This window comes from Homo sapiens, chromosome 2 (assembly GCF_000001405.40).
Source record: "Homo sapiens chromosome 2, GRCh38.p14 Primary Assembly".
Classification (NCBI taxonomy): domain Eukaryota; kingdom Metazoa; phylum Chordata; class Mammalia; order Primates; family Hominidae; genus Homo; species Homo sapiens.
Genome location: NC_000002.12, coordinates 208,126,615 through 208,140,584, shown reverse-complemented (window position 1 = coordinate 208,140,584; position 13,970 = coordinate 208,126,615). Strand labels below are relative to the sequence as shown.

The window sequence follows — 13,970 nt, the reverse complement described above, 5'->3', positions numbered from 1 at the left end:
AGCACGAGAATCGCTTGAACCTGGGAGGCGGAGGTTGCAGTGAGGTGAGATCACGTCACTGCACTCCAGCCTGGGCAACAGAGAGAGACTCTATCTCTAAAAATAAAAATAAAAGTAAATCACCGTCTTTAGGCATGAAAATTATTCTAAAACATCTGAACTGAAAGGGATTAGAGTCCCCGAATCTCTTTGATCAAGTCATTATTCTTAGAAATTTTTTGCTCCTATCCCTGGGATACAGGCAAAGAAAAAGATGTCCTGTCCTCCTCCTAAATCCAACATAAAGAGAAAGTCAATACTCAGGTGGTCCGCCTGCCTCGGCCTCCCAAAGTGCTGGGATTATAGGTGTGAGCCACCGTGCCCAGCTTGCTATACTATACTTTTTATCATCACTTTAGAGTATTCTCCTTCTACTTATACTTTTTTTTAAAAAAAAAAGTTAACTGTAAACAGCTTCAGGCAGAGCCTTCAGGAGGTACTACAGAAGGAAGCATCATCATCATAGGTGACAGTTCCATGTGTGTTTTTGCCCGTGAAGATCTTCCAGTGGTACAACATGTGGAAGTGGTAGACAGTGATATTGATGATCCTGACCCCGTGTAGGCCTAAACTAATGTGTGTGTTTGTGTCTTAGTTTTTCACAAAATTTTAAAAAGTAAAAGAATAGGCCAGGCGTGGTGGCTCACGCCTGTAATCCCAACACGTTGGGAGGCCGAGGCAGGCAGATCACTTGAGCCCAGCAGTGTAAGGTTCTTGTATCGGTTCCAACCCCAAGAGCGCGTCCACAGACAACACGAGGAGGTGTGGAGCAATAAGCTGTTTTAAGGAGCGCCTGGGTGCGCCTGAGTGCAGGAAGGCCGAGGCTTAAAATGGCGTCAGCACCAAGTGAGGACGGGGCAAAGGTTTTACAGTCTCCTGTAAACAGGAAGTGTCCTAGTCTGACGTAACTGCTACGTTGTACCCGGATGGCCTCTTTCTCGATCTTCGGGGGTACGTGTCTTCCAGCCGGCTCTCTTCCTGCTTCTGCTATCCTGCTGGCGCACACTGCTGACACAAGTGACCTTGCGCCTTGGGACTGGGCCTGGGAAGGGAGGGGTTACTCATCCCCTTAAGCTTTCAGACCCTGGGGAGAATCATACAAGGAGTTTGAGACCACCCTGGGCAACATAGCAAAACGCCATCTCTATTAAAAAAAAAAAAAAGAAAAAAGTTTATATAGTAAGGATAAAAAGAAAATATTTTTGTACAGCTATACAATGTTTGTGTTTTAAGCTACCACAAAGGTGTCAAAAAGGCTTAAAATGTTAAAAAGTTTATAAAGTTACAAAGTTACAGTATGCTAATGTTAGTTTATTATTGAAGAAAGAAAAGCATTTTAAAAAAATGTTGTGTACCCTAAGTGCACAGTGTGTATAAAGTCTACAGTGGTGTACAGTAATGTCCTAGGCCTTCACATTCATTCACCCTCCTCACTGACTCACCCAGAGCAACTTCCAGTCCTGCAAGCTCCATTCATGGTAAGTGTCCTATACAGGTGTACAATCTTTTTTTTTTTTTTTTTGAGACAGAGTATCACTCTGTCACCCAGGCTGGAGTGCAGTGGTGTGATCGCGGCTAACCGCAAGCTCTGCCTCCTGGGTTCATGCCATTCTCCTGCCTCAGCCTCCCGAGTGGCTGGGACTACAGGCACCCACCACCACGCCCAGCTAATTTTTTTGTATTTTTAGTAGAGACGGGGTTTCACCGTGTTAGCCAGAATGGTCTCTATCTCCTGACCTCGTGATCCGCCTTGCCTTGGCCTCCCAAAGTGCTGAGATTACAGGCGTCAGCCACTGTGCCTGGCCAGGTGTACAGTTTTTTAATCATTTATACCATATTTCTTGTTGGGAACAGGCCCCCCCAAATCTGGCCATAAACTGGCCCCAAAACTAGCCATAAACAAAATCTCTGCAGCACTGTGTCATGTTCATGAGGGCCATAACGCCCACGCTGGAAGGTTGTGGGTTTACTGGAATGAGGACAAGGAACACCTGGCCCACCCAGGTCGGAAAACCGCTTAAAGGCGTTCTTAAACCATGAACAATAGCATGAGCAATCTGTGCCTTAAGGGCATGTTCCTGCTGCAGATAACTAGCCAGACCCACCCCTTCATTTCGGCCCATCCCTTCTTTTCCCATAAGGGATACTTTTAGTTAATCGAGTATCTATAGAAACAATGCTAATGACTGGCTTGCTGTTAATAAATACATGGGTAATCTCTGTTTGGGGCTCTCAGCTCTGAAGGCTGTGAGGCCCCTGATTTCCCACTTTACACCTCTATATTTCTGTGTGTGTGTCTTTAATTCCTCTAGTGCCACTGGGTTAGGCTGTCCCCAGTCGAGCTGGTCTCGCATTTCTACTGTACCTTTTCTATGTTTAGATTTGTTTAGATACACAAATACTAGTGTAGTAGGCTGATCCATCTAGGTTTGTGTTAGTACACTCTATGATGTTCACACAACAATGAAATTTCTCAAAATGTATCCCATTGATAAGAGATGCATGGGGGAAGAGGAGGCTAGAGAATGTAGGCATGGGCCGGGCGTAGTGGCTTACTCCTGTAATCCCAGCAATTTGGGAGCCCGAGGTGGGAGGATTGCTTGAGCCCAGGAGCTCGAGACCAGCCTGGGCAACATAGTGAGACCTCATCTCTACAAAAAATAAACAAAATTAGCCGGGCATGGTAGCAGGCACCTGTGGTCCCAAATTCTTGGGAAGCTGAAGTGGGAGAATCCCCTGAGCCAGAGAGATAGAGGCTGCAGTGATCCAAGATCACGCCACTGTGCTCCAGCCTGGGCAACAGAGCGAGACCTTATCTCAAAAAAATAAAAATAAAAAGAGCTAGAGAATGGAGGTGCAAGTGAGTAGCGGTGGTGCAGGCGAGCTTGCAGCCCAAGACCCTGCCTCTGCCCTCAGCAAGGCCCCTGGCAGGGCCAACAACTGCAAGCTGCATGGTGAGGGCCCAGGTCATAAGGAATGGGCACATCTGGATGTGAGAGTGGGGTTGAAAAATATAGGCCAGTAAAGCTGAATGAAAATGACAGGAATGAATACACTGTGGGCAGGCTGGAGATCTTTGCAAGAGAAGGGAATATGCCTCACATCATCTTTGCTGGCCCCCTGGGAACTGACAAAGTTATAAGCATCCTGGGCCCAGCACTGAAGGATGCCATGCTGGAACTCAGTGCTTCAAATGGCAAGGGCATTGACGTTGCGAGGAATAAAATCAAAATGTTTGCTTGACAAAAAGTCATCCTTCCCAAAGGTCAACATAAGATCATCTTCCTGGATGAAGCAGACAGCATAACTGATGGAGTCCAGCAAGCCTTCAGGGGAACCATTGAAATCTGCTCTAAAACGACTCACTGTGTTCTTGCTTTTAATGCTTCAGATAAGATCACCGGAAGGCCCATGTGACAGCAGCATAGATGAAGGATCAGAGAGAGGCCAAATTGGGGTTTGGACATCATGAAGAAGCTGTTGTAGTAGTCTAAGGAGAAGAAAAAGGAGAGTTTTAGAATTCTACATTTGTCTGACTGGTGGTTCTTAGCTCCAGCTGCAGGTCAGCATCTCCAGTGGAGCTTTAAAGAAACTGTGAGTGTCCTGTTCCTACCCCCAGCCAGACCGAATTGTCATCTGCCCAGAAGGGCCCAACGCCCAGCATACATTGTGATTCCAGAGTCTTCCTGGGCCTGAATTGACTCATCTGAGGGCTTGTGGCACATGGATGTCTGCCTTGGAGGATCATTTCTCCATCTGAAAGCCCTGGCCAGCCAAGGCCATTGCTGGGGCAGTGCTGGCTGAGGCCTCTGTCTGATTTGCACTTCAATTGGGTGATTTGGGGAAGGATCTTAAAAAGCTGGAGTTCACTCTAGATTAGATGTTAGCAGAAAGCAGGGTTAATTTTGTGATTAGTTATCTCAAGGAATCTTACCCATGGGGAGGGGAGACTAGAACACGGATAAACCTGTAATCCATAAAGAAGTAGCAGTTAATCATTTTGGCTGAGAGAGAGAGGGCTTGGAATTTTGAGAGTGGAGCATTGACTTTGTTTTTGTCTGCGCTTAGACAAAGTTAAGAAGTGGCTTTATTTTATCTCATTTCATCCTGGTCTCGGAGTAGCCTTGTCTGAAGTTGTTATTCTGTGAGATTGTTTATGTCTAATAGGGGAGTAACATGTCCTCACTGTGAGTGCCAGGCCAGCATCTGAATGTCAGAGCCTGCTCTTTTTTCTCACTTTTTTTCTCATTAATCAGACTACAGTCCATAGAGATAACTCATGCTCTGTGTGGTTATGTAATTTGCCATGGAGCTAATCAGTGGGCCTTCTGAGTGTAGGCGGCCTGAGTCCAAAGCTCACACTCTTGCCCGTGAAGCTTTATAGCCTCCCTCATGCTTGGAAAAGGAAAAGCAATTTATAAAGCAATACTTTATACTTTGGTTAATACTTTGACATTTAGCCTTGTTTTTACTGCATTTCTCTTAAGCACCTGCTGCCAAAGAGGAGTCGCACCACCAGCATGGCTGGGCTGTGTGGATTATGCAGCTGCATCCTCGTAATCAAAGCACTAATAGGGTGATGCCAGCCTCTGAGGGAAACCTCACTGCCTTCCCGTCTCTGTTCAGAGGCCACTGGATCCCAGTGCATAGTCCTCCGCTACACAAAGCTGACCGATGCCCGGACCAGTGTGAGGCCAATGAATGCTAGAGAGAAGGGTACAGTTCTGTACACTGACTTTGGCCTAGAAGCCATCATCCTCATGGGTCAGGGAGACATGAGACAGGCCCTGAACAACTTGCAGTCCATCTTCCCAGGATCTGGCTTCAGTTACAGCGAGAAGTATGTTCAGGGTCTGCGACGAGCCCCACCCCCTGCTCATGAAGGAGATGATCCAGCACTGTGTGAATGCCCATGTCAAGGAAACCTACAAGATTCCTGCTCACCTATGGCATCTGGGCTACTCACCAGAAGATGTCATTGGCAACATCTTCCAAGTGTGTAAAACTTTCCAAATGGCAGAATAACTGATAAAGTGGAGTTTGTCAAGGAAATTGGATACACTGGTATGAAAGCAGAGGAGGAGTGAACTCCCTTCTGCCGACAACGGGGCTCCTGGCCAGGCTACGTCAGAAGACAATGGCCCCAGTGGCCATAGAGCAGAGGCTTTATTGATTGAGTTACAAGAGCCCTAATCCCTGTAATACAGGAGGTGCAGCCTTCTGAAGTGGAGGGGGAAGCGTGGGTGGGGAATGCCACCTTAAGCTGGTGCCAGCATACACCATACTTTAAACCCTCGTGGTTTTCACGTTGCTTCTAGCTGATCTCTGCTCCATGAGTGTTTGCATTCAACCTCAGACTCACTGACGAGTGATGGAGCGGGGCAGAAAGGCTCAGAGAAGCTCAGGGCAGGCACCTGATCTGTGTGTGAGTTGACATTTAGCTCATAAAGCCTTGCAGTGTTTGTTGTAAGGTGACCACATGAGGCCTCAAGGAAAACCAGCTTCCTGTCTCTGCCCTTGCTTGTTCCTCCCCTTTCTACTTGTGGCCCCTAGCAGCCTGCAAGTAGGAAGATGACTAGAGAGTAGATTGGACAAGCTAATCTCAATTCTTCTAGAAGCATGAAGGGACCAGTTCCCTGGGGTGAGGGCAGAGTTTGCTGTATTTTATTTAGATAGACTTCTCAAAACCAGGGCAATAAGCCCTTCAGGAAGGGCTTGCTGAGGGGGTGCCGACTGGCAAAGCACCACACAAAAACCCCAGCATGATGCCTTTCCCATGTCCTCGAGGGAACTCTTGGCCTTCGCTTTAGAATTCCCCAGTGAATTTTATATTAATTTGTAGAATTGCCTTTTTATTTGCAAGGGTACTATTTTTTCCCATTTTTTAAAATTAAAATTGCAATCATATAAAAAAGAGATGCATGACTGCATAGGATACCACCGTATATTAATTGCTAAGAAGCAGGAAGGTGGGTGGTAAAATCAACTGCTGGCTGGACCTCAGACACCAGCAAAACTCTAGAATTGGCTACCGCTGTTGTAACATTAATTTCTCATCTCAGAAGAAATAAAAATTAGAATTACTAAGGAGTGGGAGGACTTAGGGCACAACACAGCATTCCTGGTTTTTCCCTTTTGCTTATTATCTCCACTGTTATAAAGGCCCATTATGGCTGGGTGTGGTGGCTAACACCTGTAATTCCAGCACTTTGGGAGGCCGAGGTGGGCAGATCCCCTGAGGTCAGGAGTTCAAGACCAGCCTGGCCAACATGGTGAAACCCTGACTCTACTAAAGGTACAAAAATTAGCTGGGCGTGGTGGCAGGCGCCTGTAATCCCAGCTACTCGGGAGGCTGAGGCAGGAGAATCTCTTGAACCCAGGAGGCAGAGGTTGCAGTGAGCCAAGATCGCACCACTGCACTCCAGCCTGGGTGACAAGAGCAAGATTTCATCTCAAAAAAAAAAAAAGAAGGCCTGGCACAGTGGCTCACTCTTGTAATCCCAGCACTTTGGGAGGCCGAGGCGGGCGGATCACAAGGTCAGGAGATCGAGACCATGGTGAAACCTCGTCTCTACTAAAAATACAAAAAATTAGCCGGGCGTGGTGGCGGGCGCCTGTAGTCCCAGCTACTCGGAGAGGCTGAGGCAGGAGAATGGCGTGAACCCTGGAGGCGGAGCTTGCAGTGAACTGAGATTGCGCCACTGCACTCCAGCCTGGGCGACACAGCGAGACTCCGCCTCAAAAAAAAAAAAAAAAGCCCCATTAAATCGATCAAGTGCAGGGTGCCTGTGTCATCCTACACACCGAAAGTTGCACATCCTGAACTTCAATGTGAGTGTGTTATGCCTGTGTATATTGAACATTTGAAACAGGCTCCATAGACCATTATAATAATAAATTTCAGACAAGGAATAACATTCACACATCCCCCCTCCCGGGCATTTATTGAGTAACCTTTATGTGCCAGTCCTCTAAGCCAATTAGTGAGAACACAAAAATAAAGATGGAATAGACTCTGCCTTTATGGGGCTCTCCCATCTATTTTGAGGGACTGATGTCTAAACAAAATAATTAGATAAGTGATAGTTACCCTTATAGTGGTATGAACATGAGGAGCCACGGAGGCAGTATTTAATTCAGCCCAGAAGATTAGGAAGGGTTCAGGAAAATCTTTTACAGACAAACTGACGCTTGAGCTGAGACTTGAAGAAAGGGTAAAATTTCTCTGGTTGAAAAATAAACTGGTGTCTCATTGAGAAGGATCAATATGTTGAAAAACAAGAACAACATGAAATAACATTGTGCATTTGGGAAATGACAAGCGGTTCGGCGTGATCAATCAGAAAGCGTGGGGACAGACAGCGGAGGCCAGGTCTAGGATGCCGCGCTAAGGGATCAATATTGGATCCTGGAGACAATGGGAGTCCATGAAATTTTTCAAGCAAATGAACAGCATGATTTGATGTGTTTTGATTCTCATCACTCCAGCATCTGTCTGAGTGCAGCTTGGAGGAAGACAACACTGGGCAGAGTCAGGAGGCTGTTGAAAGTCCAGCTGAGATATGATAAGACCCTATGTAAGGCAGCTACAATGGCAGGGGTTTGGGGGTGGGAGGTGGTTGGGGCAGAGGAGAGAAGGAGAAAGATTTGAAAAAAGGTTAGAGAAATACAAGACTACGCCATTATGGAACAAGAGCGATGTTCTGTAATATGCACTTTCTGGCCCCTTTATTGCTTTTCCTGTCTTCTTACCAGTGCTCTAATTTAAGTGCTGGTATCTCTGCTCCGATTCTCTCACTGTGTACATATGAAACTTTATAGAACAAGAAAGAGTGCTGGCCAGGCGCGGTGACTCATGCCTGTAATCCTAGCACTTTGGGAGGCCGAGGTGGGCAGATCACGAGGTCAGGAGATCGAGACCATCCTGGCTAACACGGTGAAACCCTGTCCCTACTAAAAATACAAAAAAAAAAAAAAAATTAACCAGGCGTGGTGGTGGGCGCCTGCAGTCCCAGCTACTCAGGAGGCTGAGGCAGGAGAACTGCTTGAACCCAGGAGGCGGAGGTTGCAGTGAGCTGAGATCACGCCATGGCACTCCAGCCTGGGCGACAGAGCGAGACTCCGTCTCAAAAAAAAAAAAAAAGAGTGCTACAAAACAGAGAGCACATCTGCCTTTAAGTCTAACGAGAATGTTAGGCAGGGCACAGTGACTCACGCCTGTCATCCCAGCACTTTGGGAGGCAGAGGAAAATGGATTGCTTGAGGAGATCAAGACCAGACTGGGCGACATAGTGAGACCCTGTCTCTACATAAAGAAAATACAAAACATTAGCTGGGCATGGTGGCATGCACCTGCAGTCCCAGCTACTCAAGAGACTGAGGTGGGAGCTTGAGCTTGAGCGTGGGAGGCAGAAACTGCAGTGAGCTGAGATTGTGTCCCTGCACTCTAGCCTGGACAACAGAGCAGAACTCTATCTCAAAAAATAAATAAATAGAATTAAGAGAATGCTAGTACAATTCCTAATAAGGCATTGCCTAGGGATGGCTAAAATACATGATTTCCTTGTCAAAACATGAAGGGATAAACCACAGCAGTGTTTTGGCCCAAGAACTATTTGGTGCTTATTAAAAATGTAGGTTCTGGGCTGGGCGTGGTGGCTCATGCCTGTAATCCCAGCACTTTGGGAGACCGAGGTGAGTGGATCACCTGAGGTCAGAAATTCGAGACCATCATGGCCAACATAGCAAAACCCTGTCTCCAATAAAAATACAAAAATTAGCCGGGCATGGTGACCCGCGCCTATAATCTCAGCTACTCAGGAAGCTGAGACAGAAGAATCACTTGAACCCGGGAGGCAGAGGTTGCAGTGAGCTGAGATCGCACCACTGCACTCCAGCCTGGGTAACAGAGCAAGGCTCCATCTCAAAAAATAAAATAAAATAAATAAAATAAAAAATAAAAATGTAGGTTCTGAGGTCTTCTCCTGATCTAATGATGCAGGATTTAGCCAAAAGATCAAGATGGTAATTTGCATTTTTAATAAGCAAGGTGATTCTTAGGCACACTGGAGTTTGAAAACCACCCGATGGTTTCGAAAGTCCCTTCCAAGCCTAATTTTTCTTTAATCACAAAATGGCTTCATAGAGGATAAATTTTTTCAGGAATCTTTGAGAGGATTAAATATCTTTGAGAGGGATAAACAGGATGAAGTCAGCCTTAACAATGTCACTCTATTACTAATAACAACATTTATTCAGTGTTCATTTGTGCCAAGTATGTGCCAAATGCCTTATACACATAATCCCACTTATTCATGTCAATGTCCTTTAGCTAAAGACCACCAGGGACACACCTGTCTTTAAACAAGTTGAGCTTATTACTTGTTGCAGCAAGGGAGGACATGCTCCTTGGGGAAGCATGGAGTGTCTCAGTAAGAGAGCTTAGAAAGAAATTGTTATAGGATTTGCACTTCAGTTGTGCGATTTGGGGAAGGAGCTAAAAAAGTTGGAGTTCACTCCAGATTAGATGTTAGCAGAAAGCAGGGTTAATTTTGTGATTAGTTATCTCAAGAAATCTTACCCGTAGGGAGGGGAGACTAGAACACGGATAAACCTGTAATCCATAAAGAAGTGGCAGTTAATCATTTTGGCTGAGAGAGTGAGGGCTTGGGATTTTGAGAGTGGAGCATTGACTTTGTTTTTGTCTGCGCTTAGGCAAAGTTAAGAAGTGGATTTATTTTATCTCATTTCATCCTGGTCTCGGAGTAGCCTTGTCTGAAGTTGTTATTCTGTGAGACTGTTTATGTCTAATAGCGGAGTAACATGTCCTCACTGCGAGTGCCACGCCAGCATCTGAATGTCAGAGGCTACTCTTTTTTCTCACTTTTTTTCTCATTAATCAGACTATAGTCCATGAGATAACTCCTGCTCTGAGTGGTTATATAATTTGCCATGGAGCTAATCAGTGGGCCTTCTGAGTACAGGCGGCCTGAGTCCAAAGCTCACACTCTTGCCCGTGAAGCTTTATGGCCTCCCTCACGCTTGAAAAAGGGAAAGCAATCTATAAAGTAGTATACGGTACTTCTCAGTCTTGGGCCCAGTGACCATAGAAACCTTTCCCTTGCTTGTTATCGTAAGTTCACTACCAGGGACTGATCTCTAGTTAGACGACGTGCCCACGAAAGGCATAGTTAAAAGCTGTCTTAAAGCATTGGGTTAACGAAGTCAAAACTAGCCAAGATAAGAATCTAGATTTGTGTCCGGCCCTGGACTGGAAAATTGTGTAAAGACAAAAATGTAAGGTAGAGCAGTCTCTGCCATCCAGGGAAATGAGTCAGTGCTTGTGGCATTCTACCTCAGCAACCTCTCTGGAATCCTGGAGCAATTCTATAATGGCATAGATCTTTCCCAGAAAATTCACAGGGAATAATTCAATCATATAGACAGAGCCACGAATTTCAGGTCAAAAGTTCAGACTGATGCACAGATAAATTTAGAAAACACTAACAATCCAAATAAAAGCAACACAGAGCAGTATGTACAGGACAGCGTTAGAATATACCAGAGAACAAGGACACAATCTACAATCATTTCCAGTGAATGCAGGATGTTAAAGAGATGCATAAAATCCCCTTACCGCTGAGGGCCCCTTTTGTGTTGTTCTTGCCAACGCAGCAGCCATCCTGCTATATAGACTGGCTGTGCAGCCGCAGGCCCCATCACACTGAACTCGCATCATCCGTGTCAACCAGCCATGGGGAAGGTGAGCAGAACACAAATTAAATAAAATGAAAAAAAAGTTGCCTTTATATAATGCCTGTTAGGAGCAAATAATGTAATTCGGAACGATTCTTCCTTTGCAGATCACCTTCTATGAGGACAGGGCCTTCCAGGGCCGCAGCTACGAAACCACCACTGACTGCCCCAACCTGCAGCCGTATTTCAGCCGCTGCAACTCCATCCGGGTGGAGAGCGGCTGCTGGATGCTCTATGAGCGTCCCAACTACCAAGGTCAACAATACTTGCTGCGGCGAGGGGAGTACCCCGACTACCAGCAATGGATGGGCCTCAGCGACTCCATCCGCTCCTGTTGTCTCATCCCCCAAGTGAGTTTTCTAGATTTCCATCATGCCGCCAGAGTCCCCACTGTATTGTCAATGTGGGTTACAGGGAGGGAGGTTTGCATTTAAAAACACCTAAGGGTTAGATGGACATCAGAGACCTGAATAAGCCAGATAGATAACATGCACAAAAACAGCAGAGAATGTAAGGAAGAACCCACTTAGAGGAAGAATCCGTTTTACTTGAAATTTTTGCTACCAATAAGTCAATTAAAAGAGGTCTGTAACAAATGTAATATCATAATGGGATATAAAACAAAACTTGCAAATGGGAAGCTGGTTGGGCATAAAAAGACGGTATTTTTAACAAATTATTTTGTCTATAGTAAAAGAATTTCTAATGAATGAATTAGATAGATTCCACCATGGACTAGTAAACCTTCAAAGCTGTATTGTTAATATAGGCTATTCAAAGGTTGTGTCCAACTTTGGAAAAGGTAATTTTTCTTAATTTGGAAAATCAGTTAAATTCTCATTCCAAATGACTATTTAACTTTACACTGAAGTACAAGATTTTTTAAATCTTACTTTAGTGGTAAATTTATATGTTTGTAAATTTGGGAGATAATACCCTTACTAAAAGAATACTAGTGAAAATAAATTATTTCTATTTTTCCCCCCAAATGTAGTTTGAATTAACACAGGTAATTAGGAATCAAGATATCTCAGTTCTTGATGGATTCTAACTCAGAGTTTGAACCTCTTAAAAATTCCATCTCCTAAATAAGAATGAATTTCAGGTCAAATAGAAAATGAGCGTGCCAGTATTTAGGTGCTAGTGGAAGACAGATCCATGCGCAGCAACCACAGTAATCTACATTTTACACTGTCTAAATTTTACAATGACAATTCCATGCCACAACCTACCAAGTTCATCTGTTCTTTGGTTGGACAAATTCTGGAAGAGACTCATTTGCTTTTTTCCATCCTTCTTTCTGTGGACCGAGTAGACAGTCTCCCACAGGCTGCGGCTGTACGAGAGGGAAGACCACAAAGGCCTCATGATGGAGCTGAGTGAAGACTGCCCCAGCATCCAGGACCGCTTCCACCTCAGCGAGATCCGTTCCCTCCACGTGCTGGAGGGCTGCTGGGTCCTCTACGAGCTGCCCAACTACCGGGGGCGGCAATACCTGCTGAGGCCCCAAGAGTACAGGCGGTGCCAGGACTGGGGGGCCATGGATGCTAAGGCAGGCTCTTTGCGGAGAGTGGTGGATTTGTATTAAAATAGCTTAACACTACCAATTTCCCATTTTGGAACCTAATAAATATTTAGTCTGCATTGCTGGCAATTGCTGACTTCTGTCATTCTTTCATTGTGCAAATCAGTTCACCTTTAAATGCTCCTTGTCAAAAGTTAAGAAGTGAATGGGGTGGGGGACGGGGTCTATTGGAGAAGAGCTTCAAGGTAGAGTGAGTTTGAACAAGCCTCAGACGTTGGGGTGGAGGCAGGGTGTAGCCTGCCCGAGAAAGAAAACGCAGGGCAATGCCAGAGACCTGGGAGAGGCTGACTGGTGAGAAGGGAGGCATTCAACTAAGCACCTTGAGGAACAATAGTTGGGAAGTTTCCTTCTAACCAAAAATGGGTTAGACAAAAGGCAAAGTCAGATGAGTGGAGAGGGCAAACTTAACTTGGCCAACAGCCTGATTAGACTATATAAAGGATTGTAGTTTTGTTTACTTTCAGACACAGTATTATATAACTAATGCCAGGGCCACCGCAGCCATTGCCGTACCTTTGAACAAAGTTAAAGACTATTCATCTTCTTTTGAAAATGACTCCTGTCCAGAAGTGTAGCTCTTGGTCGGTACTACCCCTGGCCCAAATGCTGTGTCAATTATAGAAACTGCACATCAGTTTCATGGTGACCAGCTATTGCAAATAAATTAATATTAAGAGATACACATCAATCTTTTAAATAGATTTTCATGGTATAGTGTACCCCAAACATAAAAAATAACTACAAAAAACATCGTTCTGGCATAAGGACGCATGTATGCATATGTTTATCACAGCACTATTCATGACAGCAAAGACATGGAATCAACCTAAATGCCCATCAATGGTAGGCTGGATTTTACAAAGTGGTACATATATACAATGGAATACTATGCAGCCATAAAAAAGAATGAGACCCTGTCCTTTGCAGCAACATAGATGGAGCTGGAGGCCATTATCCTAAGCAAACTAACACAGGAACAGAAAACAAAATACCTCATGTTCTCGCTTCTAAGTGGGAGCTAAACTTTGAGTACATGTGGACAAGAAGAAAACAAGAGACACTGGGGCCTGCTTGAGGTTGCAGGGTGGGCGGTTGGAGAGGATCAAAAAACTACCTGTCAGGTACTATACTTATCACCTGGGTGATAAAATAATCTGTACACCAAACCTTCACAACATGCAATTTACCTGTATTACAAACCTGGATACGTGCCCCTAAATCTAAAATAAAAGTTTAAATAAACAAATACGTAAGTCCTGTAATTACAAAATGGGCTCAAATTTAAAGGTGCTTTAAAGAAGCCATAATTTCTGGAGCCTTTTATTAAACTAAAATCTGCTTGCTCATAAGCAAAGCCCTAAAAAGTAAAAATAAAAAAAAAAAAAGAAAGCAATTACGAGTCTTTTCATCAGCAGAGAATTTATTTATTTTAACTTAAAAATTTCCCTTCAAAGTAAAAGGCCTCCCATAATCTTACTACTGTACAAATTCTATAAAGAAGTTGAGGGGAGTCCTTCTGACGCCCCTCATTGCTAACTCTTGTTTATAGTTGGTGGGCACCCTTCTGGGATTTTCTCCTTGTTTATATAGC

The 13,970-nt window shown here is 44.7% G+C and overlaps 1 protein-coding gene, 1 long non-coding RNA gene and 1 pseudogene across 2 annotated transcripts in view, besides 1 other annotated feature; 2 read left to right on the top strand and 1 right to left on the bottom strand.

The window, feature by feature from the left end:
- Positions 1-13,970, bottom strand: part of LOC100507443 (uncharacterized) — a 37,634-nt gene that overhangs the window by 16,178 nt on the left and 7,486 nt on the right. Inside the window, exon 2 of the long non-coding RNA NR_038437.1 lies at positions 3,406-3,529. This is a non-coding gene — a long non-coding RNA (uncharacterized LOC100507443). The remainder of the gene's footprint in view (positions 1-3,405; positions 3,530-13,970) is intronic.
- On the top strand, positions 3,038-5,339 carry LOC100533727 (replication factor C subunit 2 pseudogene; annotated as a pseudogene).
- Positions 8,301-8,801: an enhancer, noted in NCBI's record as "H3K4me1 hESC enhancer chr2:208996508-208997008 (GRCh37/hg19 assembly coordinates)". NCBI's record gives its function as "activates a minimal SCP1, AML or CMV promoter by ChIP-STARR-seq in naive H9 embryonic stem cells {active_cell/tissue: H9 hESC(naive)}" and the evidence as "EXISTENCE:reporter gene assay evidence [ECO:0000049][PMID:30033119]".
- Positions 10,757-12,448, top strand: CRYGC (crystallin gamma C). The gene is made up of 3 exons (NM_020989.4): positions 10,757-10,801; positions 10,902-11,144; positions 12,110-12,448. Exons 1-3 carry the CDS (start codon positions 10,793-10,795, stop codon positions 12,380-12,382), a joined length of 525 nt encoding a protein of 174 aa, NP_066269.1. The 5' UTR covers positions 10,757-10,792; the 3' UTR covers positions 12,383-12,448.

Excerpts from the sequence above, each read along its gene's own strand:
- CRYGC (NM_020989.4), top strand. Across the intron at positions 11,145-12,109 it reads CCTGTTGTCTCATCCCCCAA|ACAGTCTCCCACAGGCTGCG; the intron begins GTGAGTTTTCTA and ends TGGACCGAGTAG.